We start from the raw sequence: 13887 nt of genomic DNA, 5'->3' as shown, positions 1-13887 counted from the left end.
AGCCTAAATATTTCCTTTTCTGCTTCTAGCTTTTGCTGTGCCAAAAGGGGGAACTATTTCTCCTGGAACAGAGTGGACAAATGTGCAGCAGGTGAACAGAATCATATTTGCTTTCCAGCTGTTGCACCAGCTGTGTCATGCTGACAGTGGCCTCCACCTGTCTAACTCCTGCTTCCACCAATTCAGAACCAAGATATTTTTATACTCATATCCTGGTATAAACCAACTGCTGATGGAAGTTCTTTGATGCTGAATTTGGAATCAAATACATTCTACTTTCTGGAAATCCATATACTGGGTGGCTGCTTCAATAGCAGCGGACACAAGATGTAAAATGCAGCAATGGTCAAGGAATTTCTCAGGGGAGGAATCAATCCTCTCATTTTGGTGGAGGAACCTTGGATACAGGGAGGATGAGGGACTGACTCAAAGTCATCTGGCAACTTAGAGACGAGGCCAGAGCTCCTCAAATCTCCTAGCTCTGAATCCATGTTCTTTTTATTGAGCGGGTCATGACGTAACCCCCCAGATGAGTGCAGCTTTTAATCTCCCACATCAAGGAGCCTGCTGGCTGCAGACTCATGCATACACATCACGGTGGTTTCTGGGTGGTTGATGCTCATCACCCTCTGACTTCATTTATTTTTTCCTTTGCAAAATGGCTATTGCCCAGAGGCAGCATCTCTTTTCTAAAAAGTGAACATGCCAGAAGGGTTTTTGGAAACTGCCTTGCTATCTGTAGGAGCCAGATGATTCACAGGGATGAACCAATGTACATAACAAGGATACCTGATTGGATTACCAATTAGCCGTCTCCACCTCTGCAGGGTGGTTGGAAAGAAGAGAAAAGGCAGTGTTTAGTTTGGGCAAATACCAAAAGGACTTTATCATTCTCATCAAGGCATCAGCGTGGCACATTAGACCTCTTCCAAGCCATTCCACTGGAACTTCTCTCTCCAAATGCTCCAGCAAGAGTAAACTTGTTATGCAAACATTGGATCATTGTCTCTGAGCTACAGAAGCACCTCTGTGTCGGTGAAAGGGGAGAAACTGGCTGACTTGCGTCTGTTTTTAATGATGTCGCTGCTGCTGGGAAAATTTGGAAGCTGCAGGTAACATCTTCCCCTTTGAAAAAAAAAAAACAAGGCTGCCCTGGAATGTGTTAGCTTACCTTTACCCGATGGAAGCGCCTCGGTTTGGGTATGCCCTGGGAGGGACAGGCAGACTTTTTCTCCATCTGGACCCAGCAAGAAGTGTCCCAGTGTAGGGTCGCTGGAATCTTCTTGAAAATAAGCACAAGCATAGGCAGTGTCAGTACCGTGTTGGTGAGGGAGACAGACCAAACCTGGGCCATGTTCCCCTGGTCCCCCGCGGGCACACACCCGTAGATGCCTATGTGCTTGGGTGCCCACCAGAGTATAGGGTGAGCCCTACTCCTGGGACTCAGCAGAGCAGGGCTATTGTTCAGGCCCTGCCTTCCGGGGGTCAAGGTGGGATGAACAGGGAGGGGCTACCACTTGCCTACATCATGCCTTCAGGAGAGCCTGGCTACCTCAGGGGCAGGGCTAAGTGAGCGGGGGCACTCTGTGTGAAGGAAAGGGAGTCCCTTCCTTCAGCTGTATGCAGCCCAGCCCCTGAGAACAGGGCTTCCTGCTTCCTGCCTCTGCTGTCCGCCTCCATCAGATGTCCTGTGCAGTACTCAGCATGCACGGCCAGAACCTCTAGATGAAATACTGGGATGGCTTGGTGATGCCAGGGGCTCAGGTCAAGATGAAGGATGCTGTGTCTCCCTAGTTACTTAGAAAGATTGAAGGTATTTTTTATAACCTGACTGTAAAAGTAAAAAACAAGTCATTTATTCCCCACTTGAATCTCAACGCTCAACCCAGAACACTCCTGGGACTAGATTGCGGGGTTTCCCCCATGCCAAGCAATTCTCCAGCAGATACCAACTGGTTGTCCTATAATTTAATTCAGTTCTGACACTCTTTACCTGGAGATGGTGTCAGATCCCACAGGGTAGGGCTCAGTCCACAAGACTGCCCCCCACTTCAGATGCCAATTGCAAGTCCCAGATTGTGACCTGTACTTCTGACCGACCAGCTCTAAATTGGGCCTCCACAATCCTCCCTCTCCTTGGGTTCAACAATTTGGTAGGACAGCTCGCAGAACTCAGGGAAACGCTTACTTATATTTTCTGGCTTATTTATAAAGGACATTAGAAAGGATATCGTGAACAGCCATATGAAGAGATGGGCAAGCATGTGCCGAGCTTCCGTGCCCTCTCTGGGCCTGCTGCCCTCCCACCTAGACACGCTCAGCAATGCTGAAGCTTATCAATTCGTGGTCAACAGCTAATAAAGAGCTTGATCTCCAGTGTCCCCTCCCCTTTCCTGGAGGTTGTGGCTGGAAGCTCCAACCCTCTAATCCTCTTATCGCTTGGTCCTTCTGGTCACCCATCATGAGGCTACCTAGGGGCCTTACCCTACATCACCTCATTAGCATAAACTCAGGTGTTTTCAAAGGGGCTCATTATTAATAACAAAAGATACTACTATCATTCAGAAAATTCCAAGAGTTTTAGCTTAGTAATAGAAACCAGGGACAAAGATCAAATTTATTCATATTATACCATACTTACCTTCCCCATCTCCAAGACAAAGAGTCCAGGAGTCCAGCTACCTGGACTAGCAGGCCACCAGCTAGAGTGGATGCTAAGGAGTACACACATACACATGCACACTTACAAACACACTGACATATTCACACAGGGGCACACACACATATATGCACACTCTCACAGGGCAGGCATGCACACACACCCCCATACACATGAACAGTGACATACATGAGCATATGACACATACATTCACAGGACTGAATATGTAGACATGCACGTGCATATGCAGCCATGCCTATATAGATGTGCACAATGACATGCATGCACACAAGCACATACAGGTACTCATGGGCATATAAGCACACATCCCACATTCACTTACACACATGCACACACCCAACACACATACTTGAGGCTTCAGGCTGCTCTCTTTTCCCAGTCCTGGTCCTGGCATTCTATCCTTTTTTTTTTTTTTTTTTTTTTTTTTTGAGACAGAGTCTTGCTCTGTTGCTCAGGCTGGAGTGCAATGGTGCTATCTCGGCTCACTGCAACCTCTGCCTCCCAGGTTCAAGTGATTTTCCTGCCTCAGCCTCCTGAGTAGCTGGAATCACAGATGTACACCACCATGCCTGGCTAATTTTTTTTTTTTTTTTTTTTGTATTTTTAGTAGAGATGGGGTTTCACCTTGTTGCACAAGCTGGTCTTGAACTCCTGACCTTGTGATCCGCCCACCTCAGCCTCCCAAAGTGCTGGTATTATAGGCATGAGCCACCACGCCCAGCCACTGGCATTCTATTCTAATCAGATTCTCCCTTTATAAGGATGTCTAAAGTAGGCCTGAGTATCCATTTGCTGTGATTTGTCCCAGGCCATGCAACTTCCTAGGAAGGCCCCAGGTGGGGACATAACAGTACACCAAGTTTGGTTCAATTGTATCAAAATGAAAAGAGCATTGCTGTCACACAAGTATAAAGGGGAGGGGGTTGTGAAAGAGAAGTTCCAACCCTGGAACGGTTTCTAGGTGAAAACAACGTCTCTAGGGATAGAGAGAATGTTGCGGGGAAGGAAGGGATTTAATTTTGACCATCTCAGCCTGAAACAGAAGCTGCAAACACAGAATGGAACTATTAATCTGTGGATTTAATTTATGCTTAAAGAATTCAACTATATATGCTCTGGGGAGAGAATGAGAAGGGGGTGTGCTGGGCAGTGGGGGAGACAGAGAGCAAGTGAGACTGATTTAAATACTGAGGCATTCTGTCCCTGAGTGAGCATGAAATGAAAGATGTGAAATCTGTTGCCTCTGTGATGGCTCTCTGTTCCCACATGCCTCTCAAAGTGTGAGCTTCTCACAGCCCTGAGTGTGATTCTGCTGTTAACAGAGATACCTCTTTCTTTATACAATCTGTCCCCCAAACACATGTCATCTCCTTCATCTGGTGCTCAAACTGAGAAAGCAGGCCAAGCCTTCAACGAAGCAGAAACAGCTGCCTGGACCACATATTCCTGAAAATGGTCTGTCAGTCTCCAGCGTGGCACCTTCCCAGGGATTTTTCAGGGGTAACTTGGGCTTTAAGCCATTTTTGCTCTATGAGCTACCTTTAGATGGAAGCCCCGGGGGAGCTGCTCTTGCACTGTCCTTGCATTATTGCTCTGTATAAGCATCTTAGTCCCCTCCTTGACTCCTTAAGGATAAGTACTTGAAGTGAGGCTAAATCCTAGAGGGAATGGCCTTGCCCTGCCTCACCCTTCCCTAGAAATTAGGGTCTTTCCGTCTCTGTGAACAGGCTCTGCCCTGGGCTGGAGTTGACTTCTGTCTGGGGACTCTTCTGTTGGCAGGCTCATCGGGCTCTCTTGCCTCAGGGGGCAAGGGTTATGGCTCAGTTTGGAGTGTGCCTGGTAAATCCAGTAGTGTGTCTCCCCCAGGAGCACAGGGAGCTGTGTCATCAAATGCTGCTGCCAGGAGTGAGGAAAGCCCAAAACAGCGTAGCAGTGCATGTTGCTGCAGCAAACCCTTAAAACATGTACTGACCCTTTAGAAATATGCATGGGGAACATTAATCCCACTGACATCATCAGAAACAGTGTCAATTACCCCTTTTCAATGGAATGCCTTTCAGAAAACTTACATCATAGCAGCCATGCGGCCCTGGCAATGAGCCACATTCAAGCCAGTGGGGGGCGTCTATGCACTCTGGGAATGATTACCTTGAGCTGCTGGCAGTGCCCTCCTGGGCACTCTCATGTTCGGGAGACTTGGGGGGCTGTTGTGGTCTGATGTCCTAGGGCTGTCCACGCCCTTCTGGCTCTCAGGACTTTTTTTTCCTTTAATCGGGGGTAGAAGATCCAATGGTGGGGCCACATCGTGAGGTGGGGCATCATCATCTTTAAAAACAAAAGGGGAAAAAGCCTGTGTGAGAAAACAGAATCAGCAGGAAGGAGAAGGAAGCTCTCTTCTAACTTGGTTGAAGGACCTCTGTGTGAAGACTGCTATGAAGAACTGGTAATTGTATTGTGGCTAGAAGGGAGAAATTGTCCTGGTGTTAGGATGGTTTATTCCACTCATTCTCAGGTTTGTCCCTCTTTTCCAGTCCTGCTAAGCACCAGGGACCTGATATCTCCGGTGGCCAAAATGACATGACTCTTGGCTAGAATCGTGGCTGTTCATTTGGAAAATTGCCAAGAACTGGGAGGAATTGAGTGGTGGTGGTTTTTATTCTCATCTTACGGATGAAATCCTGAGATGGAAGGAGGACTGGAGAGGGTGCAAACTCCTTCCAACCCTAGTCCTAAGGCTCTGACTAGGGAGATCCCAGCTTTAGAGCTGATGAGATTATTGGATACAGATTTCTGAACAAAAAGTAGTTGTGCTAGGCAGAGTCAATGATTGCATTCCTTCCTCAGGGTTAAATAAAAAGTGCTACCTTCCAGATGGAAGTCAGAGGGTATCAGGATTGATGGTAGCATTCCATAGAGCATACCCTACACTCTGCTTCTGTTTTCTCTTCTCAACAGCAACAGGGCCTGCTCTAGGAAGCAGGAAACCCAGGAACCCAAGTGACTGAGGCCTCGGCTTCACCTCTTTCAGAGGGAGTGGTCTTTATTTCACATGTAAAACAATAGTTGCTATTAATATTTGGGTTTAAAAATTGGCTTCATGTGGTCTCAAATTATCACAGACTACTTATTCATTAAAAAGAGGCAAAGTGTCTTTACAATGGAAAAATGGGGCAGATATCACCTTTAACCAAATAATAAAATTTAACATCACTTACAGTGGAAGAAACTGACATTTTTCATCCCTTGATATGATGGGCTGAGAGGGACACAACATCACCTCTGTGATATTCCTGCCAAAAAGGTTTGATCTGAATCTCATTATGAGGAAATAGAAAAATCCAAATCGAAGGTAATTCTGCAAAGCAACTGGCCCATCTTCTTCAAAAATGTCGATGTCATGAAAAACAAGACTGGGGGACTCTTCTAGATGAAAAGATTCTAAAGAGTGGGACCACTAAATGTAATGCATGATCCTGAGTTGAATTCTAGGTTGAACAAAAGCTATAAAGGAACATTATCGGTATAAATAGAGAAATGTGACTATGAATTAGAAATTAGAAAGTACTATTACACCAGTGTTTGCTTTCTTGAGTGTGGTAATTGTATGTGGCTAGGAGGGAGAATATTCCTGGACTTAGGAGATACGTGCTGATAAGGGATTAATGGTACAATGTCTGCAACTTACTCTCAGATGGTTAAGCAATAAAATAAAAATATATATGTGTGGATGCATACATAAAAGCTGGCTTCATTTCTGTGGTATTAGAGGTGAAGTAATCCAGGCCTAGGCAAGTAAATAAATATGTGTCGCCTCCGTGGCAATGGAGCAGTCCCACTCAGCATCAATATGCCCGTGCAGCAGGGACCTCTATGTGAAGACTGCCATGAAAAACTGCCTCTTTGTTGTTGTTGTTGTTGCTGTTGTTGTTTAGACAGAGCCTCTCTCTGTCGCCCAGGCTGGAGTACAGTGGCGTGATCTTGGCTCGCTGCAACCTCCGTCTCCTGGATTCAAGCAAGTCTTGTGCCTCAGCCTCCAGAGTAGCTGGGATTACAGGTGTGTGCCACCACACCCGGCTAATTTTTGTATTTTTAGTTGAGATGGGGTTTCACCACGTTGGTCAGGCTGGTCTCGAACTCCTGACCTCAGGTGATCTGCCGCCTTGGCCTCCCGAAGTGCTGGGATTACAAGTGTGAGCCACTGCGCCCAGCTGGAACTGCCTCTTTAGGTCCCTTTCTTTCTGCATTTACTCCCAGGTTCAGTCGCATGCATAATTTATACCAAGGGGCTTCTTAAACCAGTTTCCTCCTGGCAGAGTGGCAGAGGAGGGACAAGTTCTGGTACTCAGTTCCTGGTGGTCATGGCAGCTCAAAACAAATGTAGGGCAGTGCAAAATGAACACTATGGAAGATGAAATTCACTAGTGTCCTTTATCTCGTGGCTCCAGCTGTGCATCTCGCATTGTGGCCCATAAGTAGAAAGGTGCTTTTTTCTCTATTTGCAGAGTGATCTCTGCCGATATTTGGATTTTTTGAAAAAGGAAACATTAAAGTCTTTAGGATAATTAACTCCCACTTAAGAGATAGACCAAATAAGCCTCTGCCTCAATAATCAAAGGACATTCTCGAAACCTGAATGTTTCGAGAACGTCCTGACCTAGGTTCATTGTTTGGTTTATTCTTTTATTCTTTTTTTATTTTTTTTTTGGTATTAGTTAGAAAAGTCACAATGTTGGGCTTATACTGAAAGGGAATGTAGTCTAATGAGTAAGAACATGGATTCTGGCACTGGAAGCCCTGAGCTCCAATCCTAGTGAGGCCACTTATAGTTATGTGACCTCAAACATACTACCTATCTCTCAGGGCTTCCGTTCTCTGATCTGTAAAAGGAGGAGAGGATTGCTGTGAGGAGTACCTGAGAGAATACGTTGAAAACTAAGAACAGTGCCTGGCACAGAGGAAGAACTCCAAACACATTAATGTGCATCTTCCTATTTCTGATACCAGTAGTCAGAGGTCACTTGACATCTGTGATACTGTCATCTTGCACGTGCCCTTTGGAAAGGAGGCTCAGTTTTCTGAAAATGGGGAGCTTTCTAAATATGGCTTGTTACTTCCAACCTATCCAACACATAAACACAAACACTTAGATGCACCCATGTGTATAATTTCAAATGTCCACGTCATGGAAATTGGAGTGAAGACTTTTATCAATATTATGGACTTTTTAAAAAAAATTTTTTTTTTTTATTTTTAGACAGGGTCTTGCTCTGTCACCCAGGCTGGAGTGCAGTGGCACAATCTCAGCTCCCTGCAACCTCCGCCTCCTGGGTTCAAGTGATTCTTGTGCCTCAGCCACCCGAGTAGCGGGGATTACAGGTGTGCACCACCATGCCTGGCTAATTTTTTTGTATTTTTAGTAGAGACGGGGTTTCACCATGTTGGCCAGGCTGGCAAACTCCTGACCTCAAGTGATCCCCGCCCACCTCAGCCTCCCAAAGTGCTGGGATTATAGGCATGAGCCACCGCACCCCGCCGATATTATGGACTTTTTAATGAATAAATACATATTTATAAACAGATTAGAAATGAAATTTCATTGTTTAAAAATACAGGATAAACTATAAGGCATGCAGGAAACTTTTGGTAAGTTTGACGCTTTTCTACATCTGCAACCAGAAAATAGTGGTGGGATGAGTTAGGGAGTAAGTAATTGGTGAGCTGGACACTGTTAAAATATTAGTAGTGGGATGAGTTAGGGGGTAAGTAACTGGTGAGCTGGACACTGTTAAAATATTAGCAGTGGGATGAGTTAGGGAGTAAGTAACTGGTGAGCTGGACACTGTTAGTTTTAGTGCAGCACTTTGGTGAAGGCAGCTGCTGCCTGCACAAAGGCCATCTTCCAGTGGCTGCTGGTGAACTAACCTCCCTTCCAGACTCCTTTTCCTTGGCTGTGGACCCTTGTGTGTCTTGCCTTGCTTCCCTTCAGAGTGAGGTTCCCGAGGGATGCTGGAGGGAGGGAGGAGCTACCTTGAGGTGAGAGTGTGTCCCTGCTCGCGTCCACTGGGAGATGCACTGTTAACTCCCATGGTGTTTCTAAGGACGCATGCTTCAGGGGAGGTCTCCACACAGGTGTGGATTCTTCGCTGCTTTCTGGTTCTGACTCAGGGTGTGGAGCACCTAGGAGACAAAGAGGAGGCTGAATTGTAGCAGAGGTCTGTTGTTTTTGCCTAATGTCTCTTCTTTTGGGGACCTATCCCTTCCCTGCTCACACCATGTGGTTTGGTTGGAGCAGTGTCCATTTGCTGATTCCAGAGAGGGCTATGGAACTGAAGCCTGGCATGAGAGTACCTCATTGCCTTAGCCACAGAGATTGGTTCCGGGGTGGGCACATGGCCCAAGTCTGGTCAATCGGGGTGATTTCTGCGCTTTGCAAGAGCTTTTAAGAGGCATATCCTTCCTATAGAGGTTAACAGGAAGGAGATTAGCATGGAATTGCAGGAAGACATCTTTATCACCTCATGGTAGGAGCCTGCTTCAGAGGAAAGGCTAACAGAGTTGAGAGAAAAGTACTGCACACATATTTTCTGAGGCCTGGATTCAGCCAGTCCTGCAGTTACCTGATTCTTGCATGAACAAATTCCTTCCTTCCTTCCTTCCCTTCCTTCCCTCCTTCCTTTCCTCTCTCCCTCCCTCCCTTCCTTTCTTCCTTTCTTCCCTTCCTTCCCTTCCTTCCTTCATTTCTTCCCTTCCTTCCTTCTTTCCTTTTCCTTCTGTGTCTCCCTTCCTTCCATCTTTCCTTCCTTTTTCCCCTTTCCTTTTCTTTATTTTTGCTTAACACATTTTGAGTTAGGCTCATGATGCTTTTAAAGGAGGGTCCTTATGACATGTAAATGGGGAAGAACTCCATGAATTCACTGTCTTTGTACCCGATTCCTGTGTTTCATTGTCAGTGTGTTGGTAAGCTCAGTGCATCTGGCTTTAAGAATCTGGTTCATGATGGCCTGGTGGTTTTCCTCACCTTCCTATCAGGGTCATCATGGAAAATAATCAGATCGAACCCAATCTTGTGAATAGTATTGTCTGTCTTTTTATTAAGTGTATCTTTTCATTCTGATGTTTTGATGTCTGGGACCTGACTGTCCCTCCCAGGGCTGGCCAATTCCTAGACACAGTAAATGACTCACCTGGGAACATACCTGTCATATGCACCCCAACCAACCCAGAGTTCCTGACCCTCAACAACCTCCTTTATCAAACTCTTAACATTCCCAGGCTACTATCTGCCTGCTGTAATTATCAGAGGGCCAGTACCAGACAGCAAGGGATAGCCCCTATGCTGCAGAGCTGGCTGAATTATTCAAACTAGACAATTCTAAATCTGCTTAGGCTGCTTGCTCTGCCTTGCCCATATTCCTTCTGTGAAAACCACAATACAGCCTCTTGCCTGTGCTCCCTGCCTTCTGCCTCCTGGAGGCTGGTGCGCCCCCGTGTGGCCCTGCATGGTGTGGTGTGCCTCCTCCTCTTGGAACTGTGAGTAACAAACTATCTTTTCAGTGCCAACTGTCTCCTGATCTGTTGGCCTCACCACACCTGAATAAGATGACCTGCATTTTAAAACACTGTGTTGTTGATTTTATTTATTATTATTATTTTTTTTAGGGAGCTGAGTAATTTTTTTTGGCAAGGTAAAATCTACATAGAGTGAATCGCACAGATCTTAAGTGCACAGTTCAATGAGTTTTGACAAATCTATAATCCATACAAGCAACCCAGAGTGAGAACATTTTTCATCACCCCAGAAAGTTCCTTCATGTCCCCTTCCATTGGTCTTTTAAGCTCCACCGTTAGGCATTCTTTCCAGTAAGAAGTCCAAACAGGCTTAGAACAAAATGGCTGCCTGTGTGATTCCCAGGAGTCAAACTCTCCAAGAAGCCAGTGGCAGTCTCTGCTGAAATTTCTAGAAAACTCAGAACTAGGACCCCTGTCAAAACTAGGACACTTTTTGCCCCAGAGGGCCCAGAGAAGTCCCTGGAGCAAGAATGTGTCTTAAACAAGAGTACTATGGAATGAAAGGAAAGTCAGAAAGAGTTTTTCCTTGTGACACAGGATGAGAGGTCACTCAGAAGCCTCCCCTAAAAAGCCCACGTCGCCAGTTGGAATTGAACTCCTTTGCTCATATTCTCTTAGAACTTTGCTTAGAAGCACATAATCTCTGCTGTGGCAAAGATTATAGAGGTCATCCCTTACAAAATAACCTAATTCAAAATCAGGAAAATGACTTTTTGGATAAACTTTTATCTTTCTTTTATAAAATGGAGGTGTAAAGATTCCAGTGTCCTTTTTACCTTGGCTGCCAGGAAACTCAGCTAAATCCAGTACTTACTTCAAACCATGAATTCATCTCAGATGTCTGATAACATCTATTTCTCTACTCCTTTTACCCAGGTTTTTTTTTTTCCAATTTCAATTTTAGTTGTCTTGTTTTATACAATTATTTTTTTGTAAGCTGCCTGAAAAATTCTTGCCCTTTTATAACACCTATGGTGCATTGGACTTACTTATGTAAATACCTGTCTTCCTTTCTCTTCCACAGCTTAACAAAATGCATTGCTTAATGAAGGGTATAATAAATATTTTAAAAATCCAATTGAATATGATCAGAAGAGATCTTCTTCTAGATTTTATCCTTTTTCCTTCTTTAAAAAATATTCTCTGAAGGGGATGACCATAGGGAACGTCAGCCATGATGTAGGAGCATGTAGAAGTGGCAGGACCCCCCATCCCAGGCTCTCCCTCAGGAGTGCCCATGCACCCGGGACCTACCTCTTCTGTGGGCTTTCTCTTTTGGGGGTTGTTTGGTGTGGTAATGAATCTCCACCGGTAAGATGAAGAGCTCTGTTGGGGGCTCATTGGCTTTAAATTGGCTCTTCAGGGGCTCCAAGACTCTGGGTGGTTCTTCTGAGATAGGAGGTAATTTCAAAGCCTTTGGTGCCTGGAGAAAATTTAAAAACAAAACGATCATGGCAGGTATCCAAACCCTGCTGCCTGCAGGGGCAAACGATACTGTCTCTTATTGTATCTCTTGCACCAGGAGCTGCTGAGAGAGGTAAGCTAATCCAGCTGGGAGCCGGTATCTGACTTCAGTGGTGCCACTTGGTCTCCTGGGATCCAGCATATGCCCCTGTTAATCCTGCCTGTGAATCCTCTGAGAATTATAAACATGCTCAGTTTAAGAGCCTTTGAGAGGATATAAAGTCTTTCTTTTTCTTGCAGCTGGAAAGACTGAGCCGGACTAAAATGACATAGCTGAGATCTCTTTGAACTGATTGGGAGAAATCTCAGCATATGCTGTTAAGGGAAAAAGCAAAGTACAGAACATTGTTTGAGCAAGCTTTCCACTAAGAAGGTGCAGGAAATAGCATTTGTGATTGCTGACCTTATCTAAGCCAAGCTACAATTTCTTCCTCTGTAAAACAGGAGTAATCATACTACTTACCTTATAAGGTTGTTGTAAGGATTAAATGAGCTAATATATGCAATTATAATAGTGTTTGAAACTAGGATTATTTCCATATTTCTTTGAGAGTAGACTCTCCTCTCGTTAGCATTTATCTAGCCACTAGCAGAAAAATTGAAGTTTTTCATACTTATGTAATATGAACATAGCTGAAAAAGAATCATTGTGTGTCAGAATCAGCAACTTTGTCCAGTTTTTTTTCTGTCCCCCAAAAAGTGTGTGTGTGTGTGCGTGTATGTGTATGTGTGTGTGTATGAGAGATTCACTGGGGGTAGTAGTAACAGCCTCCTGTTTCTAATTATTCAGAGGTTGCTGAAAATTTCTCCTTTTAGTTTGCAACTTTTAACATATGAACTTGGCTCTGTGAAATGTGTACATGTTCTGGTTTCAGGAGTTCAGTTTCATAGGAGGAAAAATAAAAGCATTAGGCCTGCTGTTTGCTCCTGGGCCAAAGAAATCTGGGAAGTCAGACACCCTTCTAGTGTCTCCTTTTTAGTACTCAAAAAGAAAAAAAAAGATCAGAAGCATACATAAGCAACCTATGTATTTAGAGTTGATTGAAGAAGGAAATTCAACCAAATCTATGCAGGGTAATATTTATAATTTTGAGACATTAAGAAAATGATAAACCAAACACACGCACATAGGATCTTTATGATCCTGGAGACCCTCACTGTCCAGGTGCCGGCTGCCCACACCAACTGCCCTTTTTTGAATACTGACCTTGTGCATTTTGTTTGACAACGTTTGCATTGAGAAATCAATGTGGAAACTCAAATGATTTGTGTGAGGTATGGCTGACGAGCCAAGACTTAATTTCTTTATCCTAATTAAAAACTTACACAGAGTTTTAATATGGTGGAAAATATTGCTTTCCTCTGTGAAACCATATACATGGGTTGAGGGAAGGGACTCCTTTCCTCTGGGCCTGGCTCAGTTCTGGCCTGACCCAGGAGCAAAGTCGAGGGCTTTCCTTGGGCCTGTGGTGAGCTTGGCAGGTCAAGCCTGCTGTTCACTCCTGCACCAAAGGAACCTGGGAAGACAGAGGCCCTTCTGGTGTGGATGGAAAGGTTTAGATCAACTCAGACACAGGAAATCTGAGAAAATCTTGAACAGACTGTAAACAACCTCCCTCACTGGCAGCAGGACCACCTGGAGTGCCCATGGCTGCTTCAGGAACACTTCAGATGACATGAATCCCTGCAATTAATCAACATCACTGTAGATCACAGTCAGATACAACATACTTTCCTAAAAGTGCTTCATCTCTTCTACCAGCCCTGTAAGGTTGACATTATTATCTGGATACACAGATAAAGTCACTGTGCTCAGAGTGTGTGAGTGACCTGCTCATGTTCCCATAGCTACTCCGGGCAGAACATCCGGGGGCCCTTGCTTGTCCCCATTCATCACTGGTGCCTCCAAACACCAAAGAAAGACCCACATAGAACTGCAAGGCAGGACCAGGCCAGAGACAGCCAAGGACATCTCTAAAAAAGGTGTATTTGACTCCCAAAGGAGGTTGATAGACTTGCAAAATTTCCCCTGCATTTTCAAAGGTGATAGACCCTCAGTGGAGCCAAACTGTTGCTGGATTCAAGATCTCCAGCATTTTGAATCTGAAGTAAGTTAACTGCTTACAAACTCAAATTCTGTCCTTTAAAACGTTTACAGATAATCCCTTGCCCCT

General features: G+C 44.9%; 1 protein-coding gene and 1 long non-coding RNA gene across 5 annotated transcripts in view, besides 1 other annotated feature; one reads left to right on the top strand and one right to left on the bottom strand.

Annotated features, from left to right (window-relative positions):
* The window catches only part of KIAA2012, a 131934-nt gene that overhangs the window by 90571 nt on the left and 27476 nt on the right, over positions 1-13887 (bottom strand). Inside the window, exons 8-11 of one of the 3 annotated variants that reach the window (NM_001277372.4) lie at positions 11504-11672; positions 8708-8857; positions 4829-5005; positions 1172-1282 (exon numbers count right to left, since the gene is read on the bottom strand). In NM_001277372.4, coding sequence (NP_001264301.2) covers positions 1172-1282; positions 4829-5005; positions 8708-8857; positions 11504-11672 — 607 coding nt within the window. Of the gene's footprint in view, positions 1-1171; positions 1283-4828; positions 5006-8602; positions 8858-11503; positions 11673-13887 lie in introns of all 3 variants that reach the window. The other 2 variants (NM_001367720.2, XM_017003112.3) reach the window with 2 other exon arrangements.
* The window catches only part of KIAA2012-AS1 (KIAA2012 antisense RNA 1), a 29504-nt gene that overhangs the window by 2441 nt on the left and 13176 nt on the right, over positions 1-13887 (top strand). Inside the window, exons 3-4 of one of the 2 annotated variants that reach the window (NR_135243.1) lie at positions 30-1112; positions 2215-2375. This is a non-coding gene — a long non-coding RNA (KIAA2012 antisense RNA 1). Of the gene's footprint in view, positions 1-29; positions 1113-2214; positions 2376-13887 lie in introns of those variants that run through there. The other variant, NR_135244.1, reaches the window with a different exon arrangement.
* Positions 10144-10233: an enhancer, noted in NCBI's record as "active region_16997". NCBI's record gives its function as "activates an Ori minimal core promoter by ATAC-STARR-seq in GM12878 lymphoblastoid cells {active_cell/tissue: GM12878}" and the evidence as "EXISTENCE:reporter gene assay evidence [ECO:0000049][PMID:35858748]".

The sequence above is a fragment of the Homo sapiens genome, chromosome 2 (assembly GCF_000001405.40).
Source record: "Homo sapiens chromosome 2, GRCh38.p14 Primary Assembly".
Classification (NCBI taxonomy): Eukaryota; Metazoa; Chordata; class Mammalia; order Primates; family Hominidae; genus Homo; species Homo sapiens.
This window is presented reverse-complemented; position numbering and strand designations above follow the sequence as displayed.